The sequence below is a fragment of the Homo sapiens genome, chromosome 5, assembly GCF_000001405.40.
Source record: "Homo sapiens chromosome 5, GRCh38.p14 Primary Assembly".
Classification (NCBI taxonomy): Eukaryota; Metazoa; Chordata; class Mammalia; order Primates; family Hominidae; genus Homo; species Homo sapiens.
In genome coordinates this window covers 67,093,801-67,116,523 of record NC_000005.10, presented here as the reverse complement: position 1 = coordinate 67,116,523, position 22,723 = coordinate 67,093,801, and the positions used below count along the sequence as shown (strand labels likewise).

Below are 22,723 nucleotides of genomic sequence, written 5' to 3'. Positions count from 1 at the left end.
ATTAAAAACTAGCCTCAAGGCCAGGTGCGGTGGCTCACGCCTGTAATCCCAGCACTTTGGGAGGCCGAGGCAGACAGATCACCTGAGGTTAGGAGTTCAAGACCAGCCTGGCCAACATGGTGAAACCTTATCTCTACTAAAAATACAAAAATTAGCTGAGCATGGTGACACACGTCTGTAATCCCAGATACTCGGGAGGCTGAGGCAGGAGAATCACTTGAACTGAGGAGACGGAGGTTGCAGTGAGCCGAGATCATGCCACTACACTCCAGCCTGGGCAACGAAGCAAGTCTTCATCTCCAAAACAAAACAAAACAAACAAACAAACAAACAAACAAACAAAACTAGCCTTAGATCTTAAATTGTCAAGAGTTAAAAACACAACTCCCAGTGATTAAACTCCAAACTTGTCAAAGATCACTGTTCATGTTTTCTTCAGAGCCTCTAGAAAGCTAGTTTATACATGGGCCTCAGATTATTCCCCTACCAAAGTTCAGCCTACAGTGATTGCCAGGTAAGAAAACTAAAGAACTCACTGGGTCCACAATTCAAGAGCTGACGCAATCTTAACTATACCAGCGTGAAGAGTCGCTATAATCTACTTTGACAGCCTCCCCCATTCCAACTATTTTCATAAAAAAAAAAACAAATTAAAAGATGGTTCTGTTTTAAATAGAATTTCTGCTAAACAACTATTATCTGAAAAATACATATTATTTGTAAGCAGTGGGTAGTAATGGAATGGAACCAAGAGTCAGCTTTTGAAGCAGGAAGCTAAGGCATCATTTTGTAATGCCTGAAGTGATTTTTAAAACTCATCTAAATACCATTAAACATCTGCCCTTTTTATTTCACTGATTTAAACCATTTCTGAAGACTCATGATTCAAAAAGGTAAAGATGGTAATTTAAAAGCCATGGGGAAAAATCTCTCCCCAGGGAACTTTTCAGAAAAGCAGCCACCAGTCTCTGATAAGTGATGAATCTGTTGTGGAACTGCTTTCAGTACAGTATAAATTTATCTGGCATTATCTCACAGTAATGCATGCATCATTTCACTGGAAGCAAAGATACGATGGCCATAGGAGCAAACAAAGCCGGGAAACAGGAGAGCAGGGCAGAGAGCAGCAGGTTCCCTGGCTTCAGATGGGAAAATCTCTGTGCCAACATTTACCACCATTACAAACAATTTAACAAGATAAACACTGTTTGCAAATACAATTTAATGAACCGAGAAGACAATTTTGAATGAAGGAGTCAAGGATAGTTTTTGAGTCTTTTTGGGGAGTATATAACCTAAATGTTATAAATAATAATCCTAAACAATCATGAACAGGAACAGGTTGTAGGGGGAGTGGTTTACCAATATCAGATTTTTAAAAGTTCACTGACAAGATGCTTCCTATTCTCTGTATTTAATTTGATAATATTATTTTAAAATGTGAATAAACCATAAATCTTTTTTTTTTTTTTTTTTTTGAGTCGGAGTTTCACTCTGTCGCCCAGGCTGGAGTGCAGTGGTGCGATCTCGGTTCACTGCAACCTCCACCTCCTGGGTTCAAGCGATTCTTCTGCCTCAACCTCCCGAGTAGCTTGGACTACAGGTGCACATCACCATGCCCAGCTAATTTCTGCATTTTTAGTAGAGACAGGGTTTCACCATATTGGCCAGGCTGGTCTGGAACTCCTGACCTCGTGATCCACTCACCTCGGCCTCCCAAAGTGCTGGGATTACAGGCGTGAGCCACTGCGCCCAGCCCATAAATCCTTTTATAAGCTTAAAAAAAATTTCTTTTTTCTCTCCTGTATATTACTATGTTTTATATTTTAAGTAAACAAGAATATACCTATGAATACTGTACTCAATTTAAAGTAATCTACCATCAATTGCATTACTTCCAAATTAAATTTAAATGTCAGTTTAATTAATGATAATTTCTTTAGCAACATTTTAAAAATTAGAAGTACTCTCAAGAGCCCAACTGAGCTCTGCAAGAGAAAAACTACTCAGTGAAGACTGAAATTGCAACCCTTCTGGGACACTCTGGCATTCTCAGGCTGACATGCTTCTAGGATGTCAAGGCCTGACCCACGCTCTAGGTAGACACAAAATGGGTCATGCTCATTCGTGTCTCAGGACCCATTTTATGGCTATTTCCTTCAAATAGCAACCAGTCCCCAAATATGGACTTATCAATAGATAGAGCCAAAACATGAGGAAAAATAAAGACTTGCCACTTAGATTTCTTCTATGAGGCGACAGTGCATAAGCAAAGTCAAAGGTAGGAACAACCCAGGGACTCACCTTCCAAGGGATCCTTATTGAGTCCCAGTTGGCTAATGATGTACCTGGGAATGTCGGTTTTAATACCCTGTCCTTCTTTGGCATGGCCTTCTGCTGCTTCCAATAGGTAGTAAAATTCTTCCGGATCAAATTCCTAGCCGAAGACAATCACAGATGGATACTTCTTTGAGCCAAAATTGTCTGAGGTTTTATTACATAAATCCCATTCACAATATAACTGCTGGGTATACATGGCTGTAAGTTACTTATGCAGAAAGGAGGCAAATGGCTTTAAAAAGTATGTAATTCTCACTTCATATTTGAAGCCTATTCATATTCTAAGCCAACACATTTATGCACATGGTAACCCAAAGATAATGATCATTTCCAATTTGCTTGTAATGTAACTACGAAGGTACTATGCTCCACTTAAGATCTCGCTCGTCGGCAATGAACAGATCTGATTTTTAATTGTGCCTTTCTAGCAAAGTTGTAAAATCTGGGAATTTCCATCCAGAAGATTTGAGATTCAATTTCTCTCTCCACTCAACCAGCAACAAAAGGAATGTTAGAATATATTTACTCAAAAATGTTGCAGGAGACTCTCTTAATATAGACGTATCCAAAAACATTAGAAAGAAAAACTTCAACGTTACCATTTTTTATTAGTTAACTATAATATTAAGTTACTACTATTCACATAAAGTAAAGAACAAGAAAGAAAAATAGGAAATTAAAGCCTCTGTCTCCTATAAAACTTTGGGAATATATTTTTCCTATCTATTTAATTTTTTGTGTGTATGTGGCTGCCTCTTGCGTCTAGTGTGTAATAAAAATCTTCAGGATCACCACACTCTAGATGGATGTTATGATACTGTCAAATGTATTTTTGGTCTTCATCCTTTTTTTTTTTTTTTTTTTTTTTTTGAGACGGAGTCTCGCTCTGTCGCCCAGGCTGGAGTGCAGTGGTGCGATCTCGGCTCACTGCAAGCTCCGCCTCCCAGGTTCACGACATTCTCCTGCCTCAGCCCCCCTAGTAGCTGGGACTACAGGCGCCCACCACCACGCCCGGCTAATTTTTTGTATTTTTTAGTAGAGACAGGGTTTCACCGAGTTAGCCAGGATGGTCTCGATCTCCTGACCTCGTGATCCACCCACCTTGGCCTCCCAAAGTGCTGGGATTACAGGCGTGAGCCACCACACCTGGCCTTCATCCCTGTTTTTTGAAATACCACTCCTGAAACCCTTGGAATCTCCAAAGTAATAAGTGGCTTTTTGTATTCTAGTGAGTTGACTGGTGGCTGGGCACTCCTGGGTAGCCTCTGGAAGAGAGCTTGTTGTCAGGGGAACCTACCATATGATGACAGGGTTGGGAGTTGCAGCCCCATCCTCATCTCCACTTCAGACAGGGGCTGAAGGTTAAGTGGATCACCAATGGCCAATGATGTCATCAAACATGCCTATGTAATGAAGCTTCCATAAAAACCCAAAAAGACTGCACTTGGGGAGCTTCTGGATAGCTGAACGTGTGGAGTTTCCTGGAAGGCAGTGCAGCCAGGGAGCTTTGCACTCCTTTCCTCATGCTTCACCCTATGCATCTCATCATCTGTATAGTTTTTAGTGTATTTCATAATAAACTGGTAAACTTCAGTGTTTCCCTGAGTTCTGTGAACCACTCTAGCAAACTAATCAAACCCAGAGAAGGGGTCATAAGAACCTTGGTTTACAGCCAGACGGTGAGAGGCACAGGTAAAACCATATGGAGCTTGCGACTGGCATTGGAAGTAGGGGCACTCTTGTGGAATTGACCCCTCAACCTGTGGAATCTAATGCTATCTCTGCGTAGACAGTGTTGGAATGGAATTGGAGGACACCCAGCTGGTGTCTGCTGCAGAAAGGCTTGCTTGCTTGTTGTGTGGGGTTCCCACATAACTGGTGTCAGAATCATGTTGTGAGAGCACAGCAGGAGAAACCGAGTTTGGTTTTTCCTCTATGCCCAAAGGGATGCCATGGATTTATGTGTTGTAAACAATTATGCTTATTGACTTAAAGCCCAGTTATTAATTTCAGATATATTTCCTGGATATTTCCCATTTTGGTTAATGCCCAAAATAGGCAACTTTGGAATCTCAGCATTTCACCTGAGAATTACTCAGGAGTTTTTAAAGGCCATATAGAAAGAAAAAAAAAAAAACTTGCTGCAAGTGGAGTAAAGTCAAACCAATGTAAATACTCAGAGCCTTTACAAACATACCTACTACAATGACTGACAGAGCAAGCCTGGGTACTGTAAGGATAAGGTGATAGGTTGGGGGAAGCATCCCCTAATACTATGAAACTCCAGTTTCATCTAAGCTTTAAAGAGTACTTTGAAAGCAGCAATATTTCCAAGCTACTTGTAAGTTCACTTGTTTCTATCTTTGAGAAGCTATACTTTTTCTCCTCCGATTATGAGTGATTACTGTAAAAAGTTAATTTCCTCCTTTAAAGCAAGATCTGCTCTTAGTATATCTGCTGTTGTCCAGAAAAACAGGTTTTAATGCTAAATGACACTTTCCCCTAAATTAAACAATTGTGGGAAGTACAAACATGTGGTCCATAATTCAAAAGCTACAACAGGAGAGGCAGTAAAAAGTTAACTAACCATTCTACCTGGATTTATCAGTCACCCAGTTCTCTCTGAGGCATCCAAGATTTTTTTTTCCTTTTAGCCTTCCAGAGACACTCAATGCCAAATGGTGTGTTTGATTCTATGATTCTAAGGGTCCTCACCATTGATAGAAAGCCCTTCCCTACACCTCCCAACTCCCTACCTTTCTCCTCAAGATTTTCCCTCTATGTCTTACAAGGCACTAGTACGTATTTATGGTGCTGCGAATATTTCACTATTATAAATTATTATGGATGGTAGTTAAAATAAGGGCAAGACCAAAGCACTGCAACCATGTATGTATTATGTATGTATGTATGTGTGTATTTCTGAAAAGCTGTATTGTATGTGATGTTATAATTACTTTAATAACCAGTGGAACTTTAAAGTGAGTTTTGATGCTATATTACTAGATCCTTAAAATAATTATAATGTTCACAGACAAATATTTGTTCACAGTTTTAACTGAAACCTCAAATCAAAATTTCATAAAACAAAAACTTTTAAATAGGAGAATGATCACTGGCCAAAAACATATAATTTTAATTTTAATTTTTTTTATTTTTTGAGACGAAATCTCATTCTGTCACTCAGGCTGGAGTGCAGTGGTGCAATCTCAGCTCATTGCAACCTCCGCCTCCTGGGTTCAAGCACTTCTCCTGCCTCAGCCTCCCAAGTAGCTGGGATTACAGGCGTGCACCACCACACCTGGCTACTTTTTGTATTTTTAGTAGAGACCAAGTGTCACCATGTTGGCCAGGCTGGTCTGGAACTCCTGACCTCAGGTGATCTGCCTGTCTCGGCCTCCCAAAGTGCTGGGGTTACAGGCGTGAGCCACCACATCCAGCCAAAAACAGATAATTGTTAACATGAACTAATCATCTATAAAAGTCTCATTCCTTCAGGTCTGCATGAGGCTCTACTGTATTTTCCCAAATGGGATGGTTAGCATCTTATTTTCTAACTTGCCACATTTTAAAACAAACAATAATTATAAATCACAGGTCACTATTTATCTCTGCATTTATCTCTATTTCTTCTCTGCATCTTGGCAATTCCAAAAAAGTGTGGTACAGCCAGGGTTTTAAACTAGCTGTGACATAAAGTAATTATGCTGAGATAAGGTCAAGTACATTATTTTATGATTATATTTCAAGTTTGACTAGAATATGGTATGACCATCACTTAATAGAGCAAAAGTCCTAGAAGTCTCTTTAAAATCAGAAAGGACAAGTCACATATCGACATCATCATAAACGTTCACAAGTTGTAATTCCCTTTGACTCTTTCCATTTAGCTCTGGTGCTGGAAACCAAATGAAGGAGCTTTCTGATGGTAACTGCTTTCCCAGTTAACAATAAATAATGTAGTCACATCAAGGGGCAACTTACCAGGCACTCTAATAACCGAGCAGGGCGGGCAATAACAATTAGGATCTTTCGAACTAGTTGTTTAATAAATGCCAATTCTCCACTTTCTGAACGATCATGAGCCTATGAAAAAGCAATAAAGAGAGTGATGATGCAGAGTTGTTCCATTAAATGGAAAAGAAAATCAGCAAAGCATGCTAATTAGATCATTGCAAATGTTCAAAAATCGAGTAATTTAGAAAATGCTATTAAAAGATTGATAAACAGACATTATCTGTATATAAATGGACACTATTAAACGCCTATATCTACAAAATCTTTCTATTAGCTAAACCTTAATTGCAAAATTCTGATATATTATCTGTGCTAAAAATCAAAGGGCGCTTGATGTGAACCATGAATGAAGGAGACATTAAAAGTTTATGACACATTAAGCACACGGTACAAGTAGAGTGGGAAGCTGATCAAGAACCTTGATTTTCCAGTTAAGACCATCTTAGACATAAGAAATGGCTAAGAAAGTGAAGGGCTGCTTTTATCCTGGACACTTAACACATTATTGAAGTATATTTCATATATCCAATATGATTCGCCTATAAATTAGTTATATTATCACACGTAAGAAGTGTGCAATGCTTTTTTCAAGTGTTAGCTGGATAAAGTATATACCAGTTGGGTATCCTTTATCCAAAATGCTTGGGACCACAAGTCTTTTGGATTTTTTTTCAAATTTTAGAATATTTGCATATACATAATGAGATATCTTGAGGAGGGGATCGAAGTCTCATCATAAAAATTCATTTATGTTTCATGTACACCTAATACACAGAGCCTGAAGGTAAATTTATAGAATATTTTTGAAGAACTTTGTGCACTCATCACATGAGGTCAGGTATGAGAATTTCCACTTGTGTTATCATGTTGGTGCTTTAAAAGTTTCATATTCTGGAGCATTTTGGAATTTGAATGCTCAACCTATACCTGGGTATATAAATGTGAATCCAGTTTCACACATTGAATAAATAATACCTAGGCACCTAACTTAGTAAAATTTAACTTAAAATCTTTTAAAATTTTATTTTATATATTGCCCAAGCACAACAAATATTCTGAGAGCAAAACTGTTTGTTAATAGTCATTTAAATTTTCAATAATATTTTCTTGAAAAAAATCAGATGAATCTGTATCAAGATAGGCATAAAACAAGTTTTAGAGGTTTTAACATAAACTTCTCTGTATGTTCACTTTTAGGCTCTCTTAATCTTTGTTTTTATGATTTACTTTCCTCTAAGGATTAAAAAATAACATTTCATTGTGATGCTGGTACAATATAATTTCACAAACACAGTAATAAACATTTACAATCGTTCTTGAAGGTGCTTTACCATGACAAGGAACAATCCCGTACCCCATGAAAAGAACTGGCAGAGATCAAATTTATAAAAAATGATTGTACTCAGAAGTAATATGTCTGCTGAATTTAAGCCATCAAATTAAAAGCCATTTTCCAAAACACAGGTACAAAAACCATATACAGGCAAAAGTAAAACAGTTAACTTTTGACATTAAAATAAAAGGAAAAATGACCATTGGTGAATAATCGTAGAACAGAAAGTGTTCAAAGAACACCAACTAGTAACTATAACGACAGGTCCTAGTAACCAGGAAGGATGTTAGGACATATATAACAATGCACATATATATACATCTCAAATATTGAAACTGTCTTTAAATTTTCTTCCCAATTTTTGCTTTGCAACAAAAATAGATTTTTGGAAGATCCAGTGAATGCCAAAAAATACGGTTACATCTTCTTTATGATTTATCCTCAACCAAACTAAACAGAAAACTTTAAAGATGAAGCAAAAAAACACCTAACTTCTTAGTTGACACTTTGGGAAGGATACTGAACTTTCTTCTTACTATAATCATTTTTGGTTTATAAATTCAGGAATATAAAGAAAATCTGAAAAGCCTAAACACATTTTGGATTGTCTCTTCAAAGAGAAATGAGAATTTTGTGTCTTAATAAACTTAAAAAGTCAGTTTAGATTAAATAGATTTCATTTCAAAAATCATAATCAGTTTATTCTACCTTCTTAGTTCTAAGAATAATCAGCCATAATCAAGGATAAAACATATAATTTACATTAACTCAAACAGTATTTTATCTAATAACTTAAGTGGGGAGAAGAAGCCCTGTTAAAACAACACAAAATAAAGACACGATTAGCCCATGAAGAGAAATTTGTTCCTGGCTGTTACCAGCAAGCTCCAAAGGGGAAACACTAACGGATACCCTGTGTCTGTATTTTAAGGGTTGGCCACTACAAAACATAACCATGACCTAGATTTGAGAGTAGGTTAGAGCTTCCTATGTATTTTATTGTCTTTGGCTAAACTTCTCTAAGTGCAAAAAAGAATGGAGACATAAAAGCATTCATCTGGAATTGTCTTAGGCCTCAGGACTTCAAAAAGGCATTAAGCTGCTCAAACCTTAGGGGGATTTTACCTGGGTTATGCAAAAGACAGACAATGGGAAAAATGGTTAGGAGATAGGCCTACAGAGCACAGAATGTCACAGTTGGGAACTGACAACTGCATCCTGGGGAAACCAAGGCAAGTTTCACAATTTGGCTCTATCTAAAAAGGGCAGGCCCCTCTGCAATGGATTAGCTCCAAGTTCTGGAAAAATACTGTAAATGTGATTATGCAAATAGTTTAAATTTTTACAAAAGGGCTGAAGGAAGCTCTTTATCTGCAAAGCTAAACAAGAAACCATTCTTATTTATGCCCAACAAGACCTTTATGCCACAAGTATACATGCTTCTCTGGCCAAAAAAGAAATTTCTTTAAAAATCAATATTTTAAAAATAGTAACAGGACCCATTCACATGATCTGTGAAACCGTAAGATTTTATTTTAATTGTCATGAAAATCTGCAGTGTCTGTCACAGAAACAAAATTAAGTAGGGGATTTCAGTGTAAATAGCTTTGGATAGCAATCCTACCCTTTTCAGGGCATGCCTATAAAGGAATGAAAAACACAGGACTAAGCTGGTAACTATGGTAATATCCTGGGACAGAATTGCAGAATTAGGAGTATCTCACAGAGGCTGACTACAGAATTCCTGTGTCTGCCTCTTCTGTTCAAAAGTGCACCATTTAGCAAACATAACTTTCAAAATATTCTCATAAATAGTAATATGCATAGTGTTTCCAGCATTTTCTGGACTCTGATTTGATTAAAGCAACAGCAGAATTAGATTACTTGATACATCCTAATAGGTTGAATATTTTGGCATGCAGTTGTATCTATTTTCTTCCTTCCTCCCTTCCATGGTTTCTGAGGAACCGATAAACACCAGGCACTGAACTCAGTACCAGGGAGTTAGAGGTGACTCCTGTTGCTCAAAGAGCCCCCTGTCTGCTGGTAAAGTGAGACCACAGAAGTCAGTACAATTCATTATGGCTAAATGCATTGAGAGGAAGGGCACAGCAACAGGCCATGTTATAGTTTTACTTATGGGCAAGATAGAGCCAATAAAGAGTTTTAGATAGATATTCTTGCAGCTGCATAAAAGTATGAATTTGAAGAGTTAAGACTGGAGGGAGGCAGATAGGTGAGGATGAGGGTCTGAGCTGGATGAGGGTCTGAGCCAGGTAGTGATTATAGAACAGGAAAGAAGGGTTGTAGAAATATTTAGGAAGTAAACTATGAAGGTCTAATGGGTTGCTTGATGAAGGGAGAGAGGGAGTCTAGTATTCTCAGAGTTCTAGCAGGTGACTGGATAGATGGCAGTGCCAATGATGGATGAAAAGAATGTGGGAGAAGCATGTGTGGTTGAGGAAATGCTGTCTAGTTTTATATAGGTTGGGACTGCTGCTTCAGTGGGCTGCCCAGGTAGAAAGATATTCAGTAGGCAGGTGGATCCATGATTCTGAAATGTGAGAGATGACTACTGGTCTGAGGTAAGGATTTGAAGCCATTAGAGTCTATAGGTCTCTAATCCAAGACAGCTGACAAGATCCCTAGGAGAGAGGGAGGAGGAGTAGACTAAAGATGAGATCGTGAGAAAACTTGTAGAAAACGGGAGTTGGAAGAGAAATCCCTGGAAGAGGCAGAGAAGAAATGGTCAGAGATGTCCCAAGAACAATAAATTAAAAGGAAGGCAGAGAAAAGGAGGGTTTTAACACTGCTGAATACAGTAATATTCCAGTAAAATGTCCAGTGGATATGACAATAAGGAGGATGTCAGTGAGTTGAGGGGTATCAGAAGCCATTCACTCAAAAAATATTAAAGTCCTTCTATGTGTCACACACCATCCTAGGTGAACAAAGCAGATAATATCCCTGTCCACAGAGACTTTATACTCTAGTGTAGAGAAGTCAAAGGGCAGCCTGTGGACTGGGAACAGTCCACGATGTCATCTGTGCGTGATGAGATAAATACAATTTTAAGCGTAAGCACGTGGCAACTCTTACAGCAATTTTACATTGTAATGTAACTCATTTAGCAATTTTACTTTGCCAGGAAACCCAAGTGCATGATCATTTTCCTGTAAAATTCATTTTCCTTTTAGTTTATGGGAGAGAACAGGTCCATGCCAACTTAGAAATTAACAGAAAAACCCCAAAACAATGTGTTCACCCTAAGGATAGTCTGAAAGGGACTGCATCAGTGGACTGCAGTTGGTTGCAATGTGAGAAATCGGGAAAGAGTATAGAAGGCCTAGAGGGCAAAGGGGAGAAAAGCAGCGGCTGCCAGCCAGAGAAGGATCTTATCTCGCCAGCTAAATTCTGCAGGGGCAAGGATAGATAGAGTTCTCAAAAATTAGGATGCTAATATTTTCCTTCAGTTTTCTGCAATTATTTACATATTCATGTCTAGAGAAAACTATCTATAATTATGTTTGCAAAGGCATAATTTGTGCCCTGTGAGATACAAAAATACAATATATACAAATACATAGACTAAATAGGTTTCATTTTAGGCTGTGGCTGGTCAATTTCAGCCAGAAGAGCAATATTATACATGCATTCCATTCCCCCATACAGACTCTCTTCCTGTCCTGGGTGTTATCAAGTGCTAGGCATGCAAGTGTTAGGCCTAGACAGGTCCTGTGTTTATCTGTCATTTTGGAAATTGGATATTTTGTTAGAAGAAGAACTGACACTAATGAAAATATAGGTTGCCATTCACTACTCAACACCACATGCAGGTTAATTAATAGAACACACAGCCTGGAAGAAGCCAGCAATTTTCCATTTAGCTTTTTCAGATATAGAACTAGATAGCATCATCAAATAACACACATACGCTCAGGCAATTTATAACTTTATGGTTAAAGGGGGAAAAAATCACTGCTTCAAAATCCTTCACAATCCACTTATCCTAGAGTCATAGATTGTTGGGTCCTAAGATTCCTGTAAAGGTTATTACATTAATTTTCTATTACTATAAATAAAGACCAGAATCAATTTATAGCAAGTAGCAATCAGGTGAGTTTTTTTTTTTTTTTCCTTCTTTTTTGCTTCTCTGGAATGTGAACTCCATTTCATGGTTATAACTTGTAAGCAAAAAAAAATTTTTTTCAGGGAAAAGCAAAATAAATCAGAAAACTATATGGTACATGGTTCTTACCTCCTGTAGCAACTTATCTAATTTGTGCTGTAATTCAAGGAAGTATCGTGAGGTGATGAGGCCCTGGTGGGATTTATCCAAGCAATCTCGAGCCAGTTCAATAATCTGGTGGTGAGTGAAACTAAGCACTCCATCTGCTAAGGGTAGAACGTTGTCAGGAGAGTAGCTGGTGATAATTTCCTTTAGACGTTCTTCCATCTGAGCTGTAGCCTATATAGAGAAGACACACATACACAGATGTAATACGAGGAAACACACATGTAAACAATTCAATCATCACATTTTTACAGCATTTTCAGAGACCTCCACAAGTTGTTAAATGGGATTCTAGAAATCAAATTTAAAAGAAGCCTCACTTCTGATAAAATAATGGTACATACATGTCATCAGACATTTGTCTGAACCCATTGATTATACAACACAAAGGCTGAATGAACCCTAATGCATGTTGGGGGCATTCATGCATAGCCTTCCCAGGTACATGGGAAATCTCTGTACCATCTGCTCAATTTTTTTGTGAAGCTAAAACTGTTCTTAAAAAGTTGCTATAAAAAAGCAGCAGCCTCAGCATGTGAAATACAGATCTGAGGGTACATAAGTGAAATCAACATTTCAGAATGATAATCTCCCTTTTCTGTGTTCTATCAAATGTAAAATGGTCTCTGTAAGCTTCTTCAAGTAACTCAGATTGTATCTGTGAATTGTTACGCTTTCATTTAAGATCTTGGGCTCTTTCAGATGGACTGTCCAAAATATCAAACATTTCTTTATGTTTTTGTACTTAAACATCAGGTTGTTGCTAGAGTTCCACAACCTAAGCTAAAAATGTATCTTTCGGGCTAGGTTTTAATGTGCCAGGAGCACACATCTTATATCATCTTCTTTTGCCACAAAGCTACATCCTATGTAAAAGTCCCAGGGGACTCCCTTGGTAAAATAAATCTAAAATTTCCTTTCCAACTTTCATTTCATTCTCTCTGGTCACCCACTGCCTAATCCATATTCCTTGCTTACATTAATTATATATGCAGGGAGACTCCCTCTCCTTCCTCCCTCCTCCTCCCCTCTAATATCCTAACCTGCATTAACTAGGTTAACAGTCAGTATCTGTTTCCCTGGTGAGCAAGTGACATGTGATAAATAGCTAAAACAGCTTTAATCAATGACATCAATGTTGGGTTAGTTGCAAATAATAAGTACTCTACTCTTGATTTATGAAACCAAAGATTTTCATTTGTTCTCCTGTTTAGGGCAACACAGGCTGTGGGGGTGGATCGGAAAAACGTGGAGAGGGGCCTTCTCCCAAATGTGCAGAAATGCTTTGGTGGGAAAGACGTGGAAACAAGGTGAGCTAATGGGACCATCTGAGAGCAGGTCCTTGCAGCCAGGGGCTTGGCAGCAGCCCTTCACAATTGCTCTCTCAATTCATGTTCCTTTACCAGTCTAACTGGAGAACACGACAACTGTGCCTTCTCTTCTAAATTAATAGGTTTAGAAATACAATGTCTAAAGAGATAGGAAATCACAGAAAAGTAATGTGGAAAAACAACAACAACAGCAACTCTCATGACACACCAATCTACAGGCTTCTAACGGAGAAAAACAGTCTCTACTTAACAATGTGGCAGCAGGCCCAGAATATGGGTACAGAGTGCACAGTCTAGAGGCCTTTCAAAGTAGACCCTCCCTACGGCACCTCACCAGGCCCACCCCGTGTGTGGTGCACAAGTGGCAGGTTCACTTTAGAGCCAGCTCAGCACACGTAGAGCACAGCTAGTTCTCAGCAGTTGTTAGCTTAACATTTTTTTTTAGTTATTTTCTCTTTCTAAGAAGACTATGGAGCTGTTTTATGCAAATCATTACTAGATTGGACCCTTACTTCCTATAACAAAACAACCTTACAGACTCTAAACCTATGGTGCCTGTTCGTTTAGATGCTAGGCATCTTCAATTCAATTCATTACCTTTGGGAACCTTTCTTTGTAGACATGGTTCATCATAATTATTTCATGGTCACAGCAGGCGGGAGAACGTCCAGGGCTGCAAGCAAAGCAAATTACCCTTTTAAACTTGCCACAGCATGAAATGAAAATAAGCTTTTTATTTATAAACAGTCAGTTGCATCAAAAGTACTATGCAACCTTTGTAAGAAAAGTATATCAGATAATAAACTACAAAATCAGTCATTAGTACACATGCACACATACATTCCCATAAACACAAAGATACTCTGAATAGGACTGAAAAAGAAAGCTCAAGAAGTGGAATGCCACAAAATCATCATAGTTACAATACAATACTAGTTCAGAAAATGTTTGTAAATTGAAATTATATTCTGCATGTAGTATGAGCTTGCATAAGATCTGGAAAACAATTAACAAACTGCAAAATAAAATAAAATAGGATAGCTACAAAGAGCAACATCTAGGACACATTTAACAGTATAATTTCACACTTTTATCATACACCTGCGGTCTGCCACACATCACTGAAGAAGTCTGAAAGTCTTCCATGGCACAGGTGTCATAATTGAGATCCATTTTCTAGCCTAGCAAATATTTATCTAGGATGCTGAGGTAGGCATTATGTATTATATGAAACAGAGGCATACAACTATTGTGCATTCTTCTTTACTCTTTCAATAGTAGGTTTATCTTCCTTCCTAGTGATATATAGTTGTGCAACTTCGGTGTGTTTATATTCCTAAGTGGATACAGCTTATACTACGCACCTTAGGAATTCCTTTAATAAAACAAAAAATGGCACCAATGTAGTAAAACATGGTGCCTGTAGATGAAATAGTAAAACCAGCTGTTAATTCCATATCTCAGAATAATCTAACATGTCTCACAATTATCCAGTGTGGCTATATTTAGTATTAGTTTATGAGACTAAGTAAAGACAAAAAGTACAAAGGGAAATTGCTTCTCATTAAACTTTGATATTCAACTGACCGCCTAATAAATAAGCTATTTTTTAATATAATAAAACCTTAATATATCAAAGTGCACTAATTCTATAGCATAAAGATCTCATACTGCAGCGGATAAGTGATGCCCTATCCTGATCCCTCCTTCAAAGAAGGACCTGTTGCCCGGCTTCTGGGAGTGCTATCCACAGAAACCTTCAGCTGCCAGTCCCTGCAGGGATGGCATCAGCTGCAAGGAGTCATCTCGCCTGAGGCTGAGTCTTTCCCAGGGTGCCACATCCAGTGAGGGACCCAGTGACTGAGGTAGGGATATAAAAGAAGTCGCATTTGGCCCAGGGGAGCAACTCTGCTGAGTCCTGTCGTTCCCGAGCTCTCCATGGAGTCGGCTAAGGCTGCTGGACTTCTCCCTCTGTCCAATCCTGCCTCTCCCTTCCCTCCCACAGGTGCTAATTTCGAAAGCACTCCCTAAGAAACATGCTGAACAAGAAGCTCTGTTTTAGATTCTGCTTCCTGAGGAAACAAACTCACAGTAAAACTGGCCCTACCCAGTGTTAGGTGGACTACATTTGGCATCCACAAACTTCAGGTGACACAAACTCCTAAAAATGTGTTCACAGTCTTAGAGAAAAGTAAGACTTACGATGGGAAGAAAGAACAAAGATATTTTGTAATATGGAATCTGGAATTTTAAAAAATCCTCCTATTCTTGTTGTCCTTCTATTTCCACGAAGCTGTTGCCTCTTAACATAACAACATTAACTGCTTTTGCACTGCCTTGAAATTTCCAGTGGCTAGATGTTTTCATAGGTAGTCCCAAGACCATCGTGATTACTACTGCTGCAATCAGCAAATTGTGAGAACTGAAAAGGAAACTTATAAGATGCCTTTCAATGGTAATTAACAATATTATGTGTACATGGAAACATCACACTATATTTGTAATAGTTTGCAAGTCAGTTAACACACATATGACCTAAAGGACCGAAGTGTTCACTCAAAATGTTTGAAAATAGAGAATCCAACTAAGTAATGGTTTTCAGCCAGGCCCACACACCTCAGACTTCGGGAACGGGGGCGCATCGGCGTGTTCCTGCATCTGTTCTCAGTGGCGATGCTTTCGGTGGTACAGAAATGTTTTGATAAGAAGTGTAACTCGTCTGGTGTTGGTTGGTATGGTAACTGATGCAACTTCTCCTGGGAGGAACAGGATGACTGAAAAAAACCAAAGTGAGGTCACATAACTACCTCAGAAAGAAACTCTTCAAATGAACAGGAGAGATCGATGAGTTAAACTTGGACAATACCACCATTTTTATTGTTTCTTTTTCATGTTAAAGTTATAAGAACGACTGCCTAAATGTATAACTTGATGTTCTCTCTCAGAGTTCAAAATGCTTTCCATATTTTGCCTCATTTGTTTATAATTTCCCAAAAGATAGTTTTCTCTCTGGAGAAAACCCAGGCTCTGAAAATGGATCGGAACCAGTCAAAGCCAAAGCAAGAAAGCGACCACTGGAGTGACATTAGGGAGCACTGTATCACAGATTAGTTCTCAACTGAACATGGCACCCCCGAGTTTACTGCTGCTCAAAATCAAATGCGGACTTTTAGGTAAATAACATGAAATAAATGGTATGATATGAGATCGTCAATAAGGCAATGAAACCTCTCTTTACAATGCATCAGTGTGTGGCATGAGTAAAACGGGAGGGATTAAAGAAGATCCTTTTCCCAATAAAGCCACTGTCTTAAAATCTGGAATTGAATTTTCTTTCTTCCTTTTCTTTGGAGGGAGTAGGGGGCTGAGATTATAACTTAAAATAAAAAAAAAAAACCTTCAAGTGGTGGTGAATTTTTTGTTCCATGCCTGTAGATTTGCTTTTTGAAAATCGTCATTCAACATTTGGAACAAGGAAAGACAGGAAAGATGAACAGCTAAATAACCCTGCTTTTAATCAATCTGAAACATTTAACTAAAAAGCAAAGAAACTAATTGTTTTCATTTTCAGTCAGAGGTAAACTCCTTAAGTAATTCTAATAAAAGAGACTCAGAAATTTTTTAGTAAATGGAAACATGGTTAGAATAAGCGTATTTTGAAAGATACTACTTATTTTAAAATGTCAGTTCTAGTAAGCATTTTTTTTAAAAATCATTATATTAAGAGTATCCTTCATAAATACTGAAACATTGCAATGCAGCAAAACTAGAAATTAATGCCTAAAGCTTAAAAATTATTCCTATAACTTGAAATTATAAAACATCTTACTAAGTACATATTGAGACAAAGAGGAATTTTTATAATGTAATGAGATTATTTTACAAGCAATAAAAAAATGAGAGCACTACTAGACTTATGAGATAAATCAAAGCTGTATTCAGTAAGTATAGTCATGGCCTTAAACACTTCTCACTAAGAAAAAAGAAATAAAACACATGAACTAAATCAAGTCAAGAAATCAAGAAAAAAATAAAATAAAATCAATGCAAGCAGGAGATAAGCAGTGGTGATAAGAGGAAAGATAAGGAAATTAGCAAATAGACAAACAGAATTAAGAATCTATAGATATGTTTCAAAGGTAAATCAATGTCCACAATCCTGTATCCAAGATTTCAAAACCCACAAACTCAGAAGTTTGTTCCTAAGTTTACAGTAATCTCTTTTGGTGGCAAAGCACCAACTGAACTGATGGGAAGCTGTTTAAAATATTTATTTAATCTACTTAGTATGAATGTTGATTCAAACTGCTGCAGAAATATTAATATATTTGATTATGAGCAGCTGGCCCCACTGTTGCTGGTCTGTTATGTACAGAACAGGGATGTTGCCTTTCTAAAAGTGAAAATTCCAAAACACACCAGGCTCAAGATACCATGCAACTGTACTTGCACAGGAACAGTATCTATTGACTTCAGAGAAGGGTCCAAAGAATGAAGATTTACACAAAAAATTATGCTGCTAGTTCTTCAGGCAATTAGAGTTCCAAAACCATGTTCTGAGTCATGATATCATTCAGTAAGCATTTAGTCTCTCCAGGTAACCATTTTGCAAAGGATAGTATTCATATGCACATACAAGTTTCTACTTTTTATTAAATCATATCATTTGATAGACATACTTCATATTTTTATGAGTATTTATATTCTTATTTCTGTACTTTCAGCAGAAAATAATTTATCTGGTAAGAAACATACGGGAGAATGTCTTCCTACTGATACAATTCTGTAGTACTTATTTCAAAATTAAGAATTATCTGAATATCACATTGGAAAAGGTCCAAAAATTAATTTTAACTGCAAACTGTGATGTTTCAAGAAACCACAATACTGAATATTCTCTGGGATGACTGATTTACTTCATCTGGCTAAATCTTTCAAATTTCCGAATATAGCATTTTTAACATTTAGCAATTTTGCAGTTTCCATAATAGCCAAAGGATACAGATATTATAATGTTTACATTTCAGTCTGGCACTCAGACAACAGCTGAAATTATCTGTAAAGTTTAAACTATATTTTCAAAATGCTTGCAATTTTATTCGTATATATTCTACATTTTGATTTTTTAAACAGTTAAAGTAAATTTCTGATTGGCTAAATGACTAACAGTTAACCCAGGGAAATAAGAATCTAAGAGTGATTCAGCTTAGCTTTAGAAAAGAAAAACCTGCAACTACTAAGAAGTTTTACACAGTTTTTGCCCTAATATTTAAAGAATAGAAACACAAAGAAACTGAGAAAAATAGAGAAGTAGCTTTCCTAGTTTTCGCTCATCACTTTTATCAACAATCAATAAGGAGAAAAAAATAATTGAACTTTCACACTACAGCACCTGCAGTCCGTCATCTAAATAGTTCCTTCTCTCTATTGGCAAAAGGAGTAATTCTGGAAGCTAAAATTTCATTTTGGAGGAAAAAATAGGAATATTGAGCCTAATAATTATATGATACTAACGTCTTCAATAAAATAAACACTTCAGAGAAGAGCTGTTAGAAACACAAAGTATGTGTGTATGACTAAAAATGGTCTTGGGGGTGTCTTCCGTAGGCACATACAGAATTTAGAGACAGCAACGATTTCATTTTGACTGACGACCAGGTCAGCTTTATTAATTACAAGGTTTATCTGAAAAAATGCCATGTAAATTCCTTTAAAAGAGCCAAGATGCTGGGTTCTAAAACTGCTTACCGTATTCTGACTGAGAAAACAAGGGAACAGTAAACAGTCACTCAGTTAAACAGTCTCTCTGTGCCTCAGATTTCTGGCCCATACAATGAAAAAAACAACAGCAATTACATGATAGGGGATGTTGCTAAGATTAAATGAGCCAATGCATTTTAAGAATTTAGACAAGCACCTGGCATATAACAAGTATTTATAAAACAAAATTATTTTAAACATTATTTGTACCAAACAGGGTCTGATTTTATGTAGCTCACCTTTTTTTATGGATTCACTTTTAAAAATGATGAATGACTTACTAAAGATGGAAAGAATACAAATCCTGAACTCACCCCTATTTTTCTTGCAAAAGAGAGACTTCTATGTCCAAGTTATAATAAAACTTGACTGAAGGCAATGCAAGGTGACAGAGTTGAAATAAAAAAAACAATTTGGAGTTAAAAGACACGTCTAAAATATTGGCCAATAACCACTGATAGTGACTGCCATAAGAATCAAGGATGACTTCACTATTATTTACTGACAATTTTATTCATTCATGCTATTCAGGATTTTTAAGCATCTTTTACTGATGCTGATATGCCTCTGAAACTACTTAAGGTTGTTAGGATGTTTCTAAAAATATGATCTAAATGGACAATAGACTCATATATCACAACAAAATGGAATAATGGATAGAAAAATAAATTACCTCTGCTCAATGAAATACCATAAAGAGATGGTAAAAATAACCCAACAGCTTTTAACAATTTGGTTTTAAAGGTACTCCAGAAAATCTACGTTATATTATTATACTTGGAATTCTGGAAATACATCAGTATAAGGCAGAGGTGATACCAGTTAGAATTTATCTATTTAACTGTAGTTTCTTGTCATTCAAGTGTTATTAAGTGGCTAAACCTATGTGCTTAATGGAGTGCTGGGGGCTATCAAAAATACAATAGATGGATATCCCTAAACAATAAACCAGAGATTTTGACAAAATGAGGCTCTAGGTCCACATTCCTTGCTGGTGCAAAGAGAGCCAGATCACTCCATATATTGAACACCTGCAATCTACTAGGCCCTTCTAAATGACCACCTTGTTTCTATAGCCCTGCAGATACAGTTATCCCACATGATCACTAACATAAACTAAAAAAACATACATCTAACCTACTGAGTTGTTTCCAGTAATTGCTAGGTCTCTTGTTGAAATGTTATAGTTTGGGGCAAGAGTATCCATTTTCCTCTATCCTATTTTCATAATTCCACTATGTCTTTATTTATCTTAACCTTCTTCTAAGTTGTTTTAATTCTTTCTTAAAAGAAAGTTCTTACCTAGAAGGCACAGACAAATTAAGACTTGCCTTTTTTTTTTCTTTGAAGGAGAAAGAAAACAAAACAAAACAAACCTCTATCTAAGCCACATAGGAAGAAAGACCCAGTCTATCGAAGTTCAATGGCATTTTTAGCATAATGTCACTGGCATGGAACCAAAGCAATAAAACTAGATTGTGTTTTTCCCCCCGAACTACACCAAATGTTATTAAAATGAAAGCTTCCAGTTTCCTCCAAACTTGTGATCCTGGAACTTACTCAATTTATGCACTACAGTTTAAAAGCTTGCAGCGAAAGTATGTCCTTTTTATTTTTGTCAGGCCATCATTTGATGTGTCACTTATTCAGAGTGGCAGACATGCAGAATTTATCTTCTCCTCCCTACCAGGAAACACCCAGAGAAAACACTGCCTGTGTAATAGCTCTGTTGTTGTGAGGAAGAGAAAAAAAAAAAAAAAGTCAGGCACTTACAGAGACCGTAGAGCTGGGTGTGTTTGTCCCATAGCCAGAGGAAGGGAGAGAAGCCAACGACCAGCGGCGTCCATCAGTCCTATTGAGAAAGTGAGTTTAGCTTAGGCCAACACTGGCGTACTGTCACATGGGAACCCCAGGGAAACTAAGTATTTTTAGTCAAACAAATGACACAAACATAGTCTGTGAGGATGTGGAAATGTTCAGCAAGGGTCAGGGTAAACAAACATTATACAGTAGGTTGACTTTTATTTAAACTGAATCAATACAACCAAACAAGTAGAAAGGGAATGGGTTGATCCATATTATTGATGTCTCACTAATATACTTTGACAAAATGAATACCAGGGATAATTACAATGGTCAGACTCAGCAGATTCAAATGAATAAGAACAGAAAGGCAGGAGGAAAACACTCTCATCTGGAAGCTGATAACCAGAGCAAATGATCTTTGGAAGGGGCTAACTTCCAGCATGGCACAAGGGCCTGTGGGGACTTTCTTTGCATCCGAAACACTTTCTGCTTATTATTTTCAAGGAACAGTTATACTCATCATGCTTAGGGAAGAAGGGATCATTAGGCTCATGGCTGGCTCAGGCCTGAAGTGTCAAATAACTTTAGCATTAAGTAAGTAACTGACCTTATGCTTAGAATCTCTTAAGAGTTACTGCCTTCGGACATGACCTGGCTTGTTACAGCAAAGCCTCCTGCAGAGTCTTTGAGCATGCAGCCCAGCTCTGGCCAGTCAACAGTGGGGGCAGAGTGAAACCTTCTCCACCAGTGATAGAACTTAATGCAAAGAGTAAAGTTGTTTGCCTCAGCCTTAGAGGCAAAGCTGGCAGGAGCCATGAAAAGGGTGGTTTTATCTTCAAGTGATGATAGAATGGGTGGTTTCTCAGTTGGAGTTTGGCTGTGGATAAGGGTCATTACAAGGGTCTCAGATGAGTGAATGCAGCAGTAGAAACAATACTGCTGCAAAGGGAAGGGGACAACAGAAAGCAAATTTTCTGAAATCTCTGGCATTCCAGAGCTATTACTTTAAACGCAAGACTGTGCCTTAAAAGCCACAGAACATTTTGAATGTTCTATGCAAATTTGTCAAGGGGCAAAAAAAAGGAAAAACACACTTTAAAAAAAGCAACATTGCATTTTTAGGTCAATAAGATTGCAGTGTCATATATGGACATTTTGTAATTCGTGTTATTACGTTTGTTATTATGTTAACTTGCCAAGTGACAAGAGTGGACAAAATTTACCAGGGATACATTCACAATAAATTGAAGTTAGGGAATTCAACAACATTAGGCTTGAATTTGAGAAACGTCACAGTTAGATGTTAACGTAAAAAACTGACATTTTAGCCTAAATTTATATTCGTAGGAAAATAAAATTATAGGCTGCCATGGGTGTAACCTCCAATAAATGCAAATGGTCCACAAAGACAAGACGGAAAAATTCAAGTGGACAAATCACAGAACTACTACAATGTTAAGATTTTAGTAAAATTTACCTGTCATTTCTGTACCATGATTGGAGTACAAATGAATCAAGTATGTTAAAAAAAAGAAGCAAAGTAAGATGTATGTAAATATACCAGATAAAAGAAATTGAGATAAATTATATGTTCTTTTGAAATACTTTTAAACAACTGAAAATGTTAATGATTTAAGAAGAAAGTAATTGTAATAACATGCTTACAAAGATACTTGATTATTAAATGGACACTGGTTGATATTATTTTATTTGGCTACTTATTAAACAGTTAAGAATCCATACCTGCACTATATATTTTAAACACCTCCAATTTGATAAAGTAAGAAAAGGATATGATTTTAAAAGAATTATTCAGTCCCTTTAATAGCAATTATCAGAAAC

The 22,723-nt window shown here is 37.2% G+C and overlaps 1 protein-coding gene across 28 annotated transcripts in view; it reads right to left on the bottom strand.

Annotated features, from left to right (window-relative positions):
* The window catches only part of MAST4 (microtubule associated serine/threonine kinase family member 4), a 573,201-nt gene that overhangs the window by 53,070 nt on the left and 497,408 nt on the right, over positions 1-22,723 (bottom strand). For 26 of the 28 annotated variants that reach the window (XM_024446044.2, XM_047417157.1, XM_047417158.1 and 23 more), the window contains 6 exons: positions 20,849-20,927; positions 15,932-16,089; positions 13,913-13,988; positions 11,949-12,158; positions 6,325-6,426; positions 2,305-2,437 (listed from right to left, as the gene is read on the bottom strand). In XM_024446044.2, the coding sequence (XP_024301812.1) occupies positions 2,305-2,437; positions 6,325-6,426; positions 11,949-12,158; positions 13,913-13,988; positions 15,932-16,089; positions 20,849-20,927 (758 nt within the window). Of the gene's footprint in view, positions 1-2,304; positions 2,438-6,324; positions 6,427-11,948; positions 12,159-13,912; positions 13,989-15,931; positions 16,090-20,848; positions 20,928-22,358; positions 22,368-22,723 lie in introns of all 28 variants that reach the window. The other 2 variants (NM_001393524.1, NM_001290226.2) reach the window with 1 other exon arrangement.